The sequence below is a fragment of the Homo sapiens genome, chromosome 17, assembly GCF_000001405.40.
Source record: "Homo sapiens chromosome 17, GRCh38.p14 Primary Assembly".
NCBI lineage: Eukaryota > Metazoa > Chordata > Mammalia > Primates > Hominidae > Homo > Homo sapiens.
Window position 1 is genome coordinate 19794754 of NC_000017.11, and position 15173 is coordinate 19809926.

The 15173-nt window shown below is 39.2% G+C and overlaps 1 protein-coding gene across 5 annotated transcripts in view; it reads right to left on the bottom strand.

Annotated features, from left to right (window-relative positions):
- The window catches only part of ULK2 (unc-51 like autophagy activating kinase 2), a 97107-nt gene that overhangs the window by 23924 nt on the left and 58010 nt on the right, over window positions 1-15173 (bottom strand). For all 5 annotated transcript variants that reach the window (XM_047437147.1, NM_001142610.2, NM_014683.4 and 2 more), the window contains exons 15-20: window positions 9940-10077; window positions 7024-7169; window positions 4742-4822; window positions 2643-2929; window positions 1342-1529; window positions 869-972 (exon numbers count right to left, since the gene is read on the bottom strand). In XM_047437147.1, coding sequence (XP_047293103.1) covers window positions 869-972; window positions 1342-1529; window positions 2643-2929; window positions 4742-4822; window positions 7024-7169; window positions 9940-10077 — 944 coding nt within the window. The remainder of the gene's footprint in view (window positions 1-868; window positions 973-1341; window positions 1530-2642; window positions 2930-4741; window positions 4823-7023; window positions 7170-9939; window positions 10078-15173) is intronic.

Consider the following 15173-nt stretch of genomic DNA (forward strand, 5'->3'; position numbering starts at 1 on the left):
GTGATTCTCAAATCTGGGTGTCCACAATAATCACCTGGGAGTGTATTACACATGTTGATTCCTAAAAACCCCCAGAACACTTTGGGAGGCTGAGATGGGTGGATCACGAGGTCAGGAGATCGAGACCATCCTGGCTAACATGGTGAAACCCTGTCTCTACTAAAAATACAAAAAAATTAGCCAGGCGTAGTGGCGGGCGCCTATAGTCCCAACTACTTGGGAGGCTGAGGCAGGAGAATGGTGTGAACCCGGGAGGCGGAGCTTGCAGTGAGCCAAGATTGCGCCACTGCCCTCCAACCTGGGCGACTGAGCGAGACTTCATCTCCCAAAAAAAAAACCCAGAAAATTTAAGCAAGCAAGTCTGGAATACGGAATTACAGTCTAGAATCTCCATTTTGTTTTTGTTTTTTGACACACAGGCCAAGTAATCTAGATATACATGGGTGGTCATGAACATACAGTCTCTGGAGCAACTCCGAAAGGTTCAGGGGTCTCAGTGACCTATGGGTCTTTATAAAATCCAGTTGCTGTAAAGTAAATGCTCAGGAGTACATGTAGGTTTAGGCCAACTTCGACCAGTATTACCCTACTGATAAAAAAAAAAAAAAAAAAAAAAAAAATCTTCGTCAGAACTCCTTCCATTAGTAACGCACAGGCTGCTGCTCATCAAGATACTGAATAAGGTCCTATTCTGAATGGGCTACTGAGAAGGAAGATGAGAGGATAGGGATGGCATCCAGAACTATGAAATAATACATTTGTGTTGTTTTATGCCACCAAGCATGTGATGATTTGTTACAACAGCAGTAAGAAACAAATGCATATGCTAGCAAATTACCTGCCTAAAAAGAAACTACATTTTTCTTACCTATATCCATTGGTCGTTCTGTATTTAAACTGTCTGTGCTGCCCTGATGTCGACATATAGGAGTCTTTCCTTGTTGATCTGATAACTTCCCGGTACTGACAGATCTAAAAAGAATAGTGATGTTTTTAATAAAGGAAAAGTATACTTTTTAAAACTAGAAGGGTTAATAGGAAGTTAGAGAATGAGGAAACAAGAAATAGATACCAAACAATTCAGGGTAGAGATAAACTTCAATAATACAAATAAAGGACAGAAATAGAATATTCAAAAAGTTCAGGAAGAACTATGTACTTACATAGTTACAGGAAGCATCTGTGGTTTTCAGAGATTCTAAATGTACGTGGTACATATCAATAACCATATGGCATAAATCACCCGCTACACTAATGTAGTCTTGCTGCTTTTATAACAGAAATCTATGTTTTACTATTACAGTTTTCATGTTTAATGCTAGAATGGAAACAGTCTTTTACCTGCCAAACACTGCCTTGCTCTGCTGCTCGGCCCGCTGCCTCTCACTTCCTTGCACTAAGAGGCAATGGGCACATTCCCGTGGCTCATTCCCATCTTTCGACTGTTCTTCAGCAGGCCCATGACGAGTAACCAAGGCTAACAGGTTGGAAGATGCTTGAGTTTTAGGGATTTTGAAAGGAGCTGTGGTCTAAAGAGACATATATATATATATATATGTAAACTAGTTAATACGATGCATGAACTATTCAGTACTGGCAGGTTTGTGTGACCCAGTAGTCAGGAGCATGTAGGAGATAGGTCGGGTGGTGGGAAAAATTGTAGAAAGATGCAAACCTTCTTGGAAGGCCGGGAGGTTTTACAAAAGTTAGGATTTGGCTGAAGGCAACCAGATTCTCTTATCTGGTTCCTGAAAGCTTAGGTTAGATAACAAGGGGATGTAAAAAAACTGATCTAGATAAGTTAGTTTACTTAGGCCTTGGAACCTGGCCTTTAATCATCCATGCACAATTACTTACAAGTATGTTGACTCAAGGCCTTTGTCATTAAATCTGTACTAAATAAATGCCTGCAGCACCAGCATGTCAGGGCTGTGGCTGCTACAACTCTTTCTGTGAACGGCCCGGTCCCCTAGCCCGCTCCTTCACTGGATGTCTGTGTTGGAGTGCATTTTTTCATCCATTACTTGGTCAGGGTCTGCGGGTGAGACCTGGCAGGAGTATAGACTCTGGAGTCAGTCAAACCCACTGGCAGCTCTATTTACAGCTTGTGTGACCTTGCACAATTAATTTAAACTCTCTAAGCCTCAATTTCCTTTTTTCAGGATTAAATGGGATCATACACAAAAAGCATTCTGCAAATAAAGTACTTACGCTGCATCTGGTACACAGAAAGTGCTCATTATATTATAGCTATTATTGTCCAGGAGCAGTGGCTCATACCTGTAATTCTAGCATTTTGGGAGACTGAGGCAGGCAGATCACTTGAGGCCAGGAGTTAAAGACCAGCCTGGCCAACATGGTGAAATCCCATCTCTACTAAAAATACAAAAAAAATTAGCTGGGCATGGTGGCACATGCCTGTAATCTCAGCTACTCGGGAGGCTGAGGTACCAGAATTGTTTGAACCTGGGAGGTGGAGGTTGTGATGAGCTGAGGTTGTGCCACTGCACTCCAGCCTGGGCGACAAAGCAAGACTCTGTCTCAAAAAATAAAATAAAAAAATTATAGCTATTCTCATAATGAATCCTTTCCATAAAGTACTATACCAGTTCCTGACCTACAAAAGGGTTTAATAAACAAACCTTAGTAGGAGAGCCAATGATTGTTGGCAAAGGAGTTTTAAAGAACCAGTCAGAACTCCGTGGAGAGGACCCCAAGTGCTTGGTGGGAGAAGTTCCAAGGCTGCCAGGCCGACTGGGCTGAGGCGAGTAGCTGTACCCAGCCCCAGTATGGGATGGGCACACGGGGTCAGAGTGCTGTTTTCTGAGCTTCTGCTTGTTCTGATAGATGTCAGTGAGGGTGGGGGCGCTCTGCAGTCTAGCACCCGATAAGAGAGACTGTGGGGACTGAGCTTGTGGCACTGGAGAACCTAACAAGAAAACAAATGTAACATTAACCTGAAGTGAAGAAGTGCAGTGCAAAAATGTAAAAATTAAGAAGACAATTTTTAAAATGAGAATTCTGATAAATATCTTATTTTTCATAAGACATTCTAAAAGTGATTTACTTGGCAAGAGACTATTTTTCTGTCATCCTTTGCAAAACAAGTCCATTGTTCGTATTCTCAGGAGACAGAATTTAATGATTACAGGTTATTAGCTGTTTTTAATCAGTAGATAGCAAATAACTCAGATTAATGCAAGGTCTGACTAGCACCAAAGAGAACAATATCGTTAATGATTAAAGTTAATGAATACAACAAAAACCTACATTGAACAGGATGATTGTTACTCTATATGAATACATACCTGGATAAATCTATGTAATTATTCTCTTTTCTCACACAGCAACTAAAAGAAAACTCGAACTAACTCAAAATAACTCCTTATTCAAAAAAACAAAATAAACAAATATATATAACGTGTAGGAAAGAAGATCATAAGATAACAGACCTTTCTGAGATTTTACTTTGTGTAAAAATAACAAGCATGTGGATTTTCTGTACTTTGTCCATTAAATTACACACTTAAAACCGAAAGCATCCATATTCTCACAAAGATAACACTTGCCTGCAGATATCCTTGCCTCTTCAGGGGACACCAAATCAAGAGCCTAAGAGATCCCTGTTTCCCCCCTACAAACCTTGCTGTTTCCAACCCAAGGTCCACTAATCCTTGACTCCAGTTACACACTCTTTGGAGTTTCTTAGAAGCCAAACTAGCAAGAATAATATAAAGGGCGTGCAAATATTCTTAGTGACCTAACCATCATTCTTCTAAAAACAGAAACCAACAGAAGCTTTGCTATTGACCACTTCTGGCTTCATCTCTTTCCAAACCTGATATTTAATTTTACTGCCCTTTATAAAAATAAATTTGTGTTAAAATCTTATGGTCTGAATAAAGTTATTTAAGCTTTGTTAAAGAGTGCTTTTCTAAGTAACACAGGATTCCTTTAACTGGCCAACTCCTTAAATATCCATACAACAGAATTTAACTTATAAAGTGTCTTTAACTTATAAAGACATGATTCACACATATCTTTTCAGGCAAATACATATAATTTTTAAAATCTATATTATTTTATCTGATGCTGACTCATGGCTCTTACCAAAAATGGTATTAATCAGCCGGGCATGGTGGCTCACACCTGTAATCCCAGCACTTTGGGAGGCCGAGGCGGGTGTATCACAGGGTCAGGAGTTCGAGACTAGCCTGGCCAATATGGTGAAACCCCGTCTCTACTAAAAATACAAAAATTAGCCGGGCATGGTGTTGCTCACCTGTAGTCCCAGCTACTTGGGTGGCTGAGGCAGAAGAATTGCTTGAGCCCAGGAGGTGGAGGTTGCAGTGAGCCAAGATCATGCCACTACACTCCAGCCTGGGCAACAGAGCGAGACTCCATTTCAAAAAAAAAAAAAAAAAGTATTATTAATCAATAGTATTAAAGTAATAAAATTTCACTCCATAAATAAATTTCATTATCTATGTGAAAATAACCAAAACTTAGCCAAGTTATTTAATTTCTAAGACTTATTTTCATTAAGGAATCTCATATCCAAAAGGAGGTAGTAGATTAGCTTTATGACATATTAAACCACATTAGACCAAGATTCTAAAAATCAGGATGGCAGAGGAGATATTTCATATCAATTCTGTTCTTTGATAAAACTAGAAAAACACAACTCAAATCCATTTATAATACAATTCAAATTATTAATAAACCAAATACATTATCCTACCTGAGGAGTTTCTACTCCTGGAGTCATGGCCCTGAGGATGCCCACAGCAGCACTGACTGAATTGCTCAGGAATGGTACCAACTACAAAAAAAAAAAAAAAAAAGATGGGGAAAGGAAGAAAAATGATCAAAAACCAATAAAAGATGGCAACAGGCAACACATGCACAAATTGCACAGTAAACTACTGGTTAGAAAATTTTAAGTAACAAACGTTTAGTTCAACTAACATTTACTGGACAACCAATCCGCTGGGTGCTGCACACTAAGATAAAAAGTATCATATAATCTGCCTTGAAATAAGAACATTAGGGGAAGAAAAACCACATAAACAAATAAATGCTCCTAACAGGTATGTCCATAAGACAGGTAAGCACAAAGAGTTTGTACAAAGTGTCCGGGCTTGTGGAGCTGCAGGGCACAGCTAACAGAGAGCCCCAGCTGCAGTCCCTCTGGTGCCAAGGCTAGGCTTCCCCCAGGGCTGTTCCCAGCCAATGACTGCATATGGTGGGACACTAATTCAGGCTTGTTGAAGCGGGTCAGGGAATTCCTCTAACAAGACAATCCAGTGCTTGGGGCTACTTCTTCAGTCTGGCTGAAACCTTCTCAGACCTACACCACAGTCTGAGACTCTTCCTGGCCAGCTCTTCCTCCTTCCTGCCCTCCTTTTCCAGGTGTTGGACCTATGTCTTGGTCTGAGGGCCCTCCCTGCTTCCTCCTGCTCCTCCCCTTCATTCTTCACAGAAGTTTCCCCAAGTCACTCTCTTGTATATCTAATATGTTCTATGCATCCATTTCTCTGAGAATTAAAACTAACACAGAGAGAGAGAGTTAGGGAAGGCTTCAGGCAGTTTAAGCAGATGAGAAACATGTCTATATCAAGAGGGCTCATTCCAAGGGATTAAGCAGCGGGCAGAGATCAGATCCTTAGGGAAGGGCTTTATCCTTGTGTGCAAGGATGAGATTTGGACCTTATCTTTGGAGACCTTGAAGTACCTCAGGGGCTGCTACAGGGGTGAGAAAGGGCCAAAATTTTATTTAAAGATTTTTCATCTAAAAACAGCTTTGAAACCATTGCAACAGGTAATGTGGCAATTTAAACTTCTTTCTTTTTCTTAACACTGTCATTGTGTGTTTTGTCTTGTTTTAAACAGGGCTCCTGAGGAAAGCCCTTCTCTTTGTCTCTGGAGACTTCTTCCTGTTCCATCTTAGTGTTACTTCAGCAGTTCTGACTGAAGGTGGGGCCCTCTCCTGGAAGTATTTTTTTTACAGTTTTGAGATTTGCCACCCCCAGGCCCTGCGTGCACCACCTGTTCTTCCCACCACCTCAGTGCTGCCTCTCATACAGCTGCTGTAGTCTCAATGGCTTTGGCTCTCTCACACATATTTCTGCAGTTTGAGCTTTTATTTCTGTCCCTTGGTTTCACTGAAGATATGGTACATGGTTTGTTTTTCCTTTTGGTAGGGTTTTTGTTGTTTCTGGTGTTTTGTTTGTATTGGCATTCTCCTTATTACGGTACCAGGAGAAGTGGGAAGATCTGTAACAAAGCTGCCACCACATGCCTACCAGAACTGGAAGGTTTCTGGTAATTGTGACCCAGAGCTGCTATACAGTAATCCTTATAAGTATGAGTGATAAGTAGAAAAGGCATTTTATGCACTTCAACCTAGGGTTTCTGACTTTGCATTTAGAGCCCAATCCCAAAGGAGATGCTTTTTATACATAAATTACATTTATATTATTGTATTTCCAGTAGAGATCCTAACAAATTTATACAGAGATTCTCAAAAAGAAGTTGGGGCCGGGCGCGGTGGCTCACACCTATAATCCCAGCACTTTGGAAGGCCAAGGCGAGTGGATGCTTGAGCCCAGGTGCTCGAGACCAGCCTGGGTAACATAGTGAAACTTTGTCTCCGTAAAAATAAAAAAGTAAAAAAAATTAGCTGGGTGTGGTGGCATGCGCCTGTAGTTCCAGCTACTTGGGAGACTGAGGTGAAAAGATCCTTTGAACCTGGGAAGCAGAGGCTGCAGTGAGCCGAGATCATGCCCCCTGCACTCCAGCCTGGGCGACAGAGTGAGACCTTGTCTCAAATAGAGAAAGAAAAGGAAAAAGAAAAGAAAAGAGGGAGTTGGGATTGGGGTAAAGATGGAGGGACGGGGTATGGCCTCCAATCAGCTGAGAATCACTGCCATCATGAGCCGAAGTTCCTAAAGAAAATGTGTCATGTCAGATTTATTACAGTGAAAAAAAGGTTGAAAACAACTGTTTTTAAACTCTACTTACCCAAAGGGGAAGGTGAGTAAGGCCTAGAAGACCCAGTGGAGAGCCTTCGTCCAACTGTCTGTGCTGTGTCTGCTGGTACTGGGGAGCATGATCCCGGCCGGAGGAAGCCCATGGGGCTGGTGTTGGACCTTCGTACCACTGCAGATCTGAAAAGTAAATTATTCCTTCTATAAAAGGTTCTAGAACTCTCTTTTTATTCCTGCATTTTCTGAAACTTCCTAACAATATGCCACGGAGTAGTTTTCAAAAATATGTAATACAGTCACATGGAACAATTATAAGATGCATAAAAAGAGTGAGGTCTCCCTCTCATTTTTCTATTCTATCTGCCTAATTCCCAACACTTCCCCAATTCTGTTCAAAAGGTTACCATGATTCTTAGTTTCTAGTATATCCTTCCAGAGTTCCTTAATGCATATACAAAATAAACTAAATATATACTCCTTTTCACCATGTTTTAACACCAAAGGTGATATATTACATATCAATCATTTTGAATCCTTTTGGTCTTAGGTCCTGTTTATACTCTTAAAAATTACTGAAGACCCCAGAGAGTTCTGTTTATGTAATTTATATCTATTGATATTTACTGTATTCAAAATTAAGCTGAGAATTTTTAAGAATTATTAACTCATTAATAAGCTTATTCCATGTAATATAAGATTATGAAAAATAAGCATATTTTCCAAAACAAAATAAATTAGTAAGAAGCATGGCATTATTTTATATATTTTTATAAATTTCTAATGGCTCACAGAAGACATTTGGATTCTCATAATTGCTTCTGCATTCAATCTGTTGTAAGATACGTTATTTTGAGTGAAGAATATGAAGAGGATCCAGCCTTCCACAGATGTGTAACTGTGAAAGGAAGGAATATTTTGGTAGCCTTTTCAGGTTAACTGTGACACGTTTCTTTGATACTACACCAAAACTCAGCAAGTGGTCGTTGCTAAAAGGTTGGCTGCAATGTGGATCTGAAACCAGATTAATGAACTCATACTCCATTATGTGAGACTCCATTCTTTTGCAAAGAATCTTGCACTTTGAATGAAATTTTTACCTGTGCATGATTTTTTTTAACCATTCAGTAATCTGGAAAACATTGGTTCACTGAGTTATGCAGATATTCCAATGCTGATACATTAAACAATATCAAAAAGTCATATTCATAACAAAATATCACCCTCAATTTTAAAAGAAACACCTGTCAAGGTATAACAGAAGCTGTCAAACTTGTATTCACCACTGAATTTTTCCAACATTCCAATTTTTGCTTAAAAGCTCAAGTTTTATCATCACTTGTTTTCTTCAAAGTGGAAAGACTTACCATTTTTGACAAAATAGCTGCTTGATACCCATAACCATAGTTTATCAGCCATTTTTTAAGGTAAAAAGGGTATTCTATGACAAAGCAGCTAGCTCAACTTGGAACTAGAACAATCATACAATGCTTTTCCTAAGATAACTACTCTAATATGTGGCAAAAGTGCTTTATGTGTACATCTCACTCAAAGATTTTTTCAAAGAAAAATATTAATTTTTACTGCCTCATTAAGGACATTCTTTTGTACTGCAAGTGTGTAGTGGAGAAGAATACAAAGACTAATAGTACTGTTTGGGTACCACCACCCTGATTCAGGCAAAGGTACCAATAGCTTTATCCATCTTTGCATTTTGTACTATCAGTGCATGTATCAATGTAATGAAAAAAGCAAATAACGTCTAATTTTTATTATGAAAATAGTTTTGACCTCATGGACCCTCTGAAGGGATCCACAGACTAAACTTTGAGAACCACTGTACAATATACTGTTAATCACTTTACTTTTTTCATTTTATAATATAACTTGGAAATCTTTCTATCTTGGCACAGAGGGAACTCCTTCACTCTTTGTGGAATGGAAGGTGTGTAATATTCCATTATCAGAGATGGATCCTAATAAATTAGTTCATTACCAGTGGCCACTTGGCTTATTTTTCATCCTTTGGTATCGTAACAGTTAACAACTTTGTGTAAATGCAATTTCATACACAGGAGAGGCCTGTATATGTAGACTATGTCCATGACATACATATATGTAGAATTAGTTACCAGAAGTCAAAGTGCTATTTCCTCCCTCCACTCTATTGGGTGCTCTGAGATTTAGGTCTCTCTGAGGGTACTGTGGGGCACAGTGATTCTCCTTATGTCAGAATCCCTGATTACGTGCATACTTATGTCTGCCATGCTAAATCAAGTACCATTCTTCTATCCCCTTCTGTTTTCCAGAAATTTACTGAACTCTCTCTCTCACTGAATAGAGTAAGAATAACCTATGCTTGGCCAGGCGTGGTGGCTCATGCCTGTAATCCCAGCACTTTGAGAGGCTGAGACGGGAGGATCGCTTGAGGCCAGGAGTTCAAGACCAGCCTGGTCAATGTAGTGAGACCCCGTCTCTAAAAGCACAAAAGAAAAAGAAAAAAAAAAAGAATAATCTATTCTTATTTCACTTGTTTTTGTGGACTTGTACCTTTGTTATTCCTTTAATATGATCTTAGTAAGGTCTCAGGATGGGGGAAAAAGTAAACAATATGTAAATAATCTGCTACAACTGGTGGGATTTCATTTTTTAATAAGTTCTTCCTCAATTCTTAAAAGTAATTATACATTTTAAGTATATATGTCTATACACATGTATACTTAACATATATAAAATATATACAAATATATACATATCATACTATATTATCAAGCTAAGCTTAAATAGCATTTAAATTCATCAATTATAAAACTTTATTATTCAATTTTGTGCGTTCCCATTATACACACATGTAAGACACTATGCCACAGAAAGTAACATATCTTCCAATATCAATAAATTTTTTTTAAAGGAGATGAAAAAGAATTAAGCAAGAAAAAAGCTACTAACTTACCTTGGAGAACCATGTACATTTGTGCCTGAGCTGGCAGTAGATGTAAGATTCTGCTCTATGCGCTGATAATTCCTTATTTGAGTAGGAACTGGAATTGGTGCTGTTTCGCTGTGAGGTGACACAGTAGGCTGACACTGCCTGCAATCGTAATTTATTGAAAAAGGAAAGAAACAGTGGTAGGATTGTTTTTCTTTCATTTGACCCATTAGTTATATTTAGAGAAAATTCCAGAAAGAGCCAAATGGTCACTCCACTACCTTAATAAGAAATGATCTTGTTAAAAAATATATAAAGCCAAAAAAAATCACATTTATTATCTAAAAAACTCCTGGCATTCATATGCATATTGAGGACTAAGAATTATAATAACCTGGAAAAAAGTTCCTTTACAACAACAGGAAAAGTCCACAGGTCAGCAAAACTGTTTCATCCACTCACATTCTGCTATTCATTACTATGTGAGAGAAAAAATATCCAGGAAAATATGCTGGGTAAAAGAACGGGAAGTTCAACAACAAAGATGACTGGAATGTTTGCAAAAGTCATGAATGCTGTAAGCATTCTCAAAGAGCTCTGACTTTATGAAGAAGGAGAACATCTTGCACAAACTCTCAAAGCATGCAACTCATCTGACGTCCACATTTTGTAGTGTCAGTATTTGGTTTCTTTAATAGCCTCTTTCCTCACTTTTCATAAATTCAGAAATAGAATGTCCTTATACCACTTTCAATTCACTTTACAACATATCCTAAAAACATATCAGAGATAACACTGGGCCCTAAGAGAGATGACTTATTTCAAAGTAAAAAGAAATACAAAACACTTTTGTAGTGGAGATGTTAGCTGCTTTCCCAATATCCATTCAGCCTTTATGTCTTACTAAAAAATAACTTAAATTTTATTAGTGGCAATAATATGCCCAATTAATTGCAGCATATCCCAGACTCCCTTGCAGCCAAGCATAACCATATGTCTTTCTTGGTCAGTGAGATATAAGCAGAAGTCTTCTACTCATTCTTCCTGTTCAAAATGTGAGCATGCTTGCTGGAGCTTCAGCAGATACCTTTGAACCACAAAAAAAAAGGCCAAAAGACCTGAAGACACGTAACTTCCTTGAGCCACAGAAACTAAGGAAACAACTGTTTATCGTGACTTTTCTGCATGAGAGAAAACCTTTAAGTGTTCAACCACTCTATAGTTAGGACCCTGTGGTTTACAGCCAAGTGGAATTCCTAATGATACGCCATTTAGTGTGCTTCTATGAGCTCTCTCTATACATTTTTATTTAGGTATTTCCATTTAGTATCTTTAAATACAATAATGTTTTTAATATCTACACATCTGATTCTTCAGTTTATCTACATCCTAAAAACAAACAAACAAAATCCCAAAAACACAAACCCTCTACTACCACTAAAACAGCTTAACAGTACTTCACTAATCAGCTCTGGTGTCTGCAAGCCAGTGCACTCATAGGTCTGACAACCCAAGTTCCTTAACAACAGAATAACCAACACAGTCATCAATTATCAGAATGTGAAAGAATAAATGCCATTTTTTTATTGTTTCAATTTAGTAAGTAAACAGAGTTTTTGAAGCATTCATTCCCTGCTAAAGTACATCAGGGAATTTTTTTTAAATACACATTATCAAGCTCTAAAATTTTTCCTGTACTGGTTAATCTCCAAAGGGAAGAAGCTAAATAAAGGTACCCAAAGAAGTAAACTTAGCAACCTCATAATTCTAAGCACCTCTCTCAGGTAATCTCAGCTGGCTTCTCTAACACCTCTGGTTCCTCCCCCTACCAGCATGAGGACATGAACAGCCATGGATGGTGTTCTGCAAATGTTATCTCAGATAGTCTCTGGACAGGACCTGCAAGCAGACTTGCTCAGGGTCTAGAAAGTCTTCCCTGGACAAATTCCAGATCTCTAGCTAGCTAAGACAACTGCAGCCATTTTCCTGTACAACTTAATATTAACACCAATATTTAACCATCTTCAACTCCCTGAGTCCAAGTTAAGGAGAGGGAAAGTCTGTGTATGTCCTGAGTCTCCAGCACATCTTCCTCACCTCCACTAGGGCCTACAATTCACAACATTCTCTGTGTGGACCGTCATCTTGGACCCATATGAAATACTTGAAAGATAAGGCAGCCTGGCCACACAAAAGCACAATCACATGTTATTCTATCTACTTGTGCTGAGAGGAAAGCACAAATGCAAATGGACAAATAAAGACTAGGTGATAGCATGACAACTTCTTCAAATACACAATCTTTACACCAGGAAATCCCCAGTTGCCTCTTTGTTTTAGAAGACTCCATGAGTAAATCCTGAAAGGGTGACAGGTAATCAGGAAAGCAAGGGTTCAGCTGGAAGTAATGCCAAGGGACAGAGGGAGAGAAGAAGGAAGGATCTATGCATAAGAGCTCCTGTGAAACTCAATCTAGCAGACTAATGCTAAGCCACAGTTGTGAGCTCATGCTCATGAGGCTGTGTAAGTGATGGGGAGCCAAGTGGAGATAACCTGCTCATCACCCAGAGACCCAAGCAGCATCAGAAAAGGGCCTAGTGTGGCACACAGGCACACAGCTTGCAAGGTTCTAGTGAGAAAGGGGTTACTGCATGTAAAGGGAAGCAATCAGAAGGGTAGAAATCCACTCAGATGGTGCACTCTAATGCACCATGGGCTGTGTATGCAGCTGGCCTCCATCAATGTCTGGCAACAACCAGTCTTAGAATTCTGATATCCTAACTCCCATGCCTATGCCTATTTTTTGTCTGGATGCACAAGGAATAGATATTATATTCCCTACATGTACTGAAAACTGCCATGTAGCTATTGAAGGCACTATTACTAAGAAGTGCTGCTTTAGAGAAAAATGCATATTCACTGGTAAAGGAAAGTTCAAGAATTAGACCATAGGAAGAGAAGCCAAAAAGGAGCCAAAGATGACTCAAGAAGAAAAAAAGGCAGCACATCAAAAGAAGTGAAAATCTGGCAATATACAATTCCCATAATTGAATTCCCATATCCTCAAAGAGAGGAAAGAAACAAGATTGTACAAGATTTGCTTATCCCCGTGGTTCCCAAACTGTGCACTGAGGGCCCCCAAGGTACCAGTGCTACTCAAGGGGCGCCTTAGAGTACATCAAATTGTTTAAGGTTTGGGAGGCTGAAGCAGGTGGATCACGAGGTCAGGAGTTCAAGACCAGCCTGACCAACATGGCGAAACCCCGTCTCTACTAAAAATACAAAAAATTAGCCAGGCGTGGTGGCGGGTACCTGTAATCCCAGCTACCCTGGAGGCTGAGGCAGGAGAATTGCTTGAACCTGGGAGGCGGAGGCTGCAGCAAGCCGAAATCGCACCATTGCACTCCAGCCTGGGCAACAAGAGCGAAACTCCATCTCAAAAATAAAAGATACTCTTGCATATACAGTGAAATGATCTCAGACAAGAATGCTAAGACCACACAATGGGACAGGGACAGTCTCTTCAGCAAATGGTGCTGGGAAAATTGGATATCCACATGCAAAAGAGTAAAGTTGGAATCTTATCATACACCATACACAAAAATTAACTCAAAGGGGATTAAAGGCCTGAACATTATACCCAAAACTATAAAACTCCTAGACAAAAACATAGAGGGAAAGCTTAATATGACATAAGAGTAGGCAATGATTTCTTGAATATGATGCCAAAAGCACAGGCAACAAAACAAAAAATACACAAATATGACCTCCTCAAACTTAAAAAATGTTCATGTATCAAAGGACACAAAGAGTCAAAAGACAACCAAGAGAATGGGAAGAAATATTTGCAAATCATACCTGACAAGAGGCTAATATCCAAAATATACAGAGAACTCTTACAACCCAACAACAAAAACCCAAATAACTCAATTTAAAAATGGGCAAAGATCTTGACTGGACATTTCTCCAAAGATGATATACAAATGGCTAAGAAGTATAAGAAAAGATGTTCAATATCACTAATCATTAGAGAAGTGCAAATCAAAATCACAATGAGGTATCACCTCACACTCATTAATTAGGATGGCTGTTATTTTAGAAAATAACAAATGCTGGTGAGAATGTGGAGAAACTGGAACCCCTGTGCACTGTTGGTTGGACTGTAAAATGGTATAACTGCTATGGAAAATTTAGCCAATTCCTGAAAAAAGTAAACACAAAATTACCATATGATCCAGCAATCTCACTTCTTGGTACATATCCAAAGGTACTGAAAGCAGGATCTTAAGGAGATATTTACACACTCATGTTTATAACAGCATGCACAATAGCCAAGAGGTTGAAGCAACCCCAAATGTTCACCAATGGATTAATGGATAAACAAAATGTAGCATATACATACCATGGAATATAATTCAGCTGTAAAAAGGGAAAAAGCCTGTCACATACCACAACATGGATGAACCTTACAGTCATTATGCTAAGTGAAATAAGTCAAGTCACAAAACAGATAAATGCTATATGATTTCACTTACATGAGGTATCTAAAGTAGTCAAATTCATAGAAACAGAGAGCAGAATGTGGTTACTATCAGGGCCTTGAGGGGAAGGGGAAACGGGGAGGTAATATTTAATGAGTATAAAGTTTCAGATTTGCAAAATGAAAAAGTCCTAGAAATTGGTTGCATAACAATGTGAACATATTTAACAATAATGAACTATAAACATTAAAATGGCTGAAATAGTAGATTTTATGTGTTTTTTATCACAATTAAAATTTCAGGCTGGGCACAGCGGCTCACAACTGTAATCCCAGCACTTTGGGAGGCCGAGGCGGGCAATCACCTGAGGTCAGGAGTTTGAGACCAGCCTGGCCAACATGGTGAAACCCCATCTCTACTAAAGATACAAAAAATTAGCTGGGCATGGTGGTGCGTACCTGTAATCCCATCTACTCAGGAGGCTGAGGCAGGAGAATCACTTGAACCCGGCAGGTAGAAGTTGCAGTGAGCCGACATCACGCCATTGCACTCCAACCTGGGTGACAGGACGAGACTCCGTCTCAAAAAAAAAAAAAAAAAAAAAAATTAGCCAGGTATGGTGGCACATGCCTGTAATCCCAGCTACTTGGAAGGCTGAGACAGGAGAATGGCTTGAACCCAGGAGGCGGTGGTTGCAGTGAGCCAACATCCCACCAATGCACTCCAGCCTGGGCCACAGAGCAAGACTCCATCTCAAAGAAAAAAATAACTAAATAA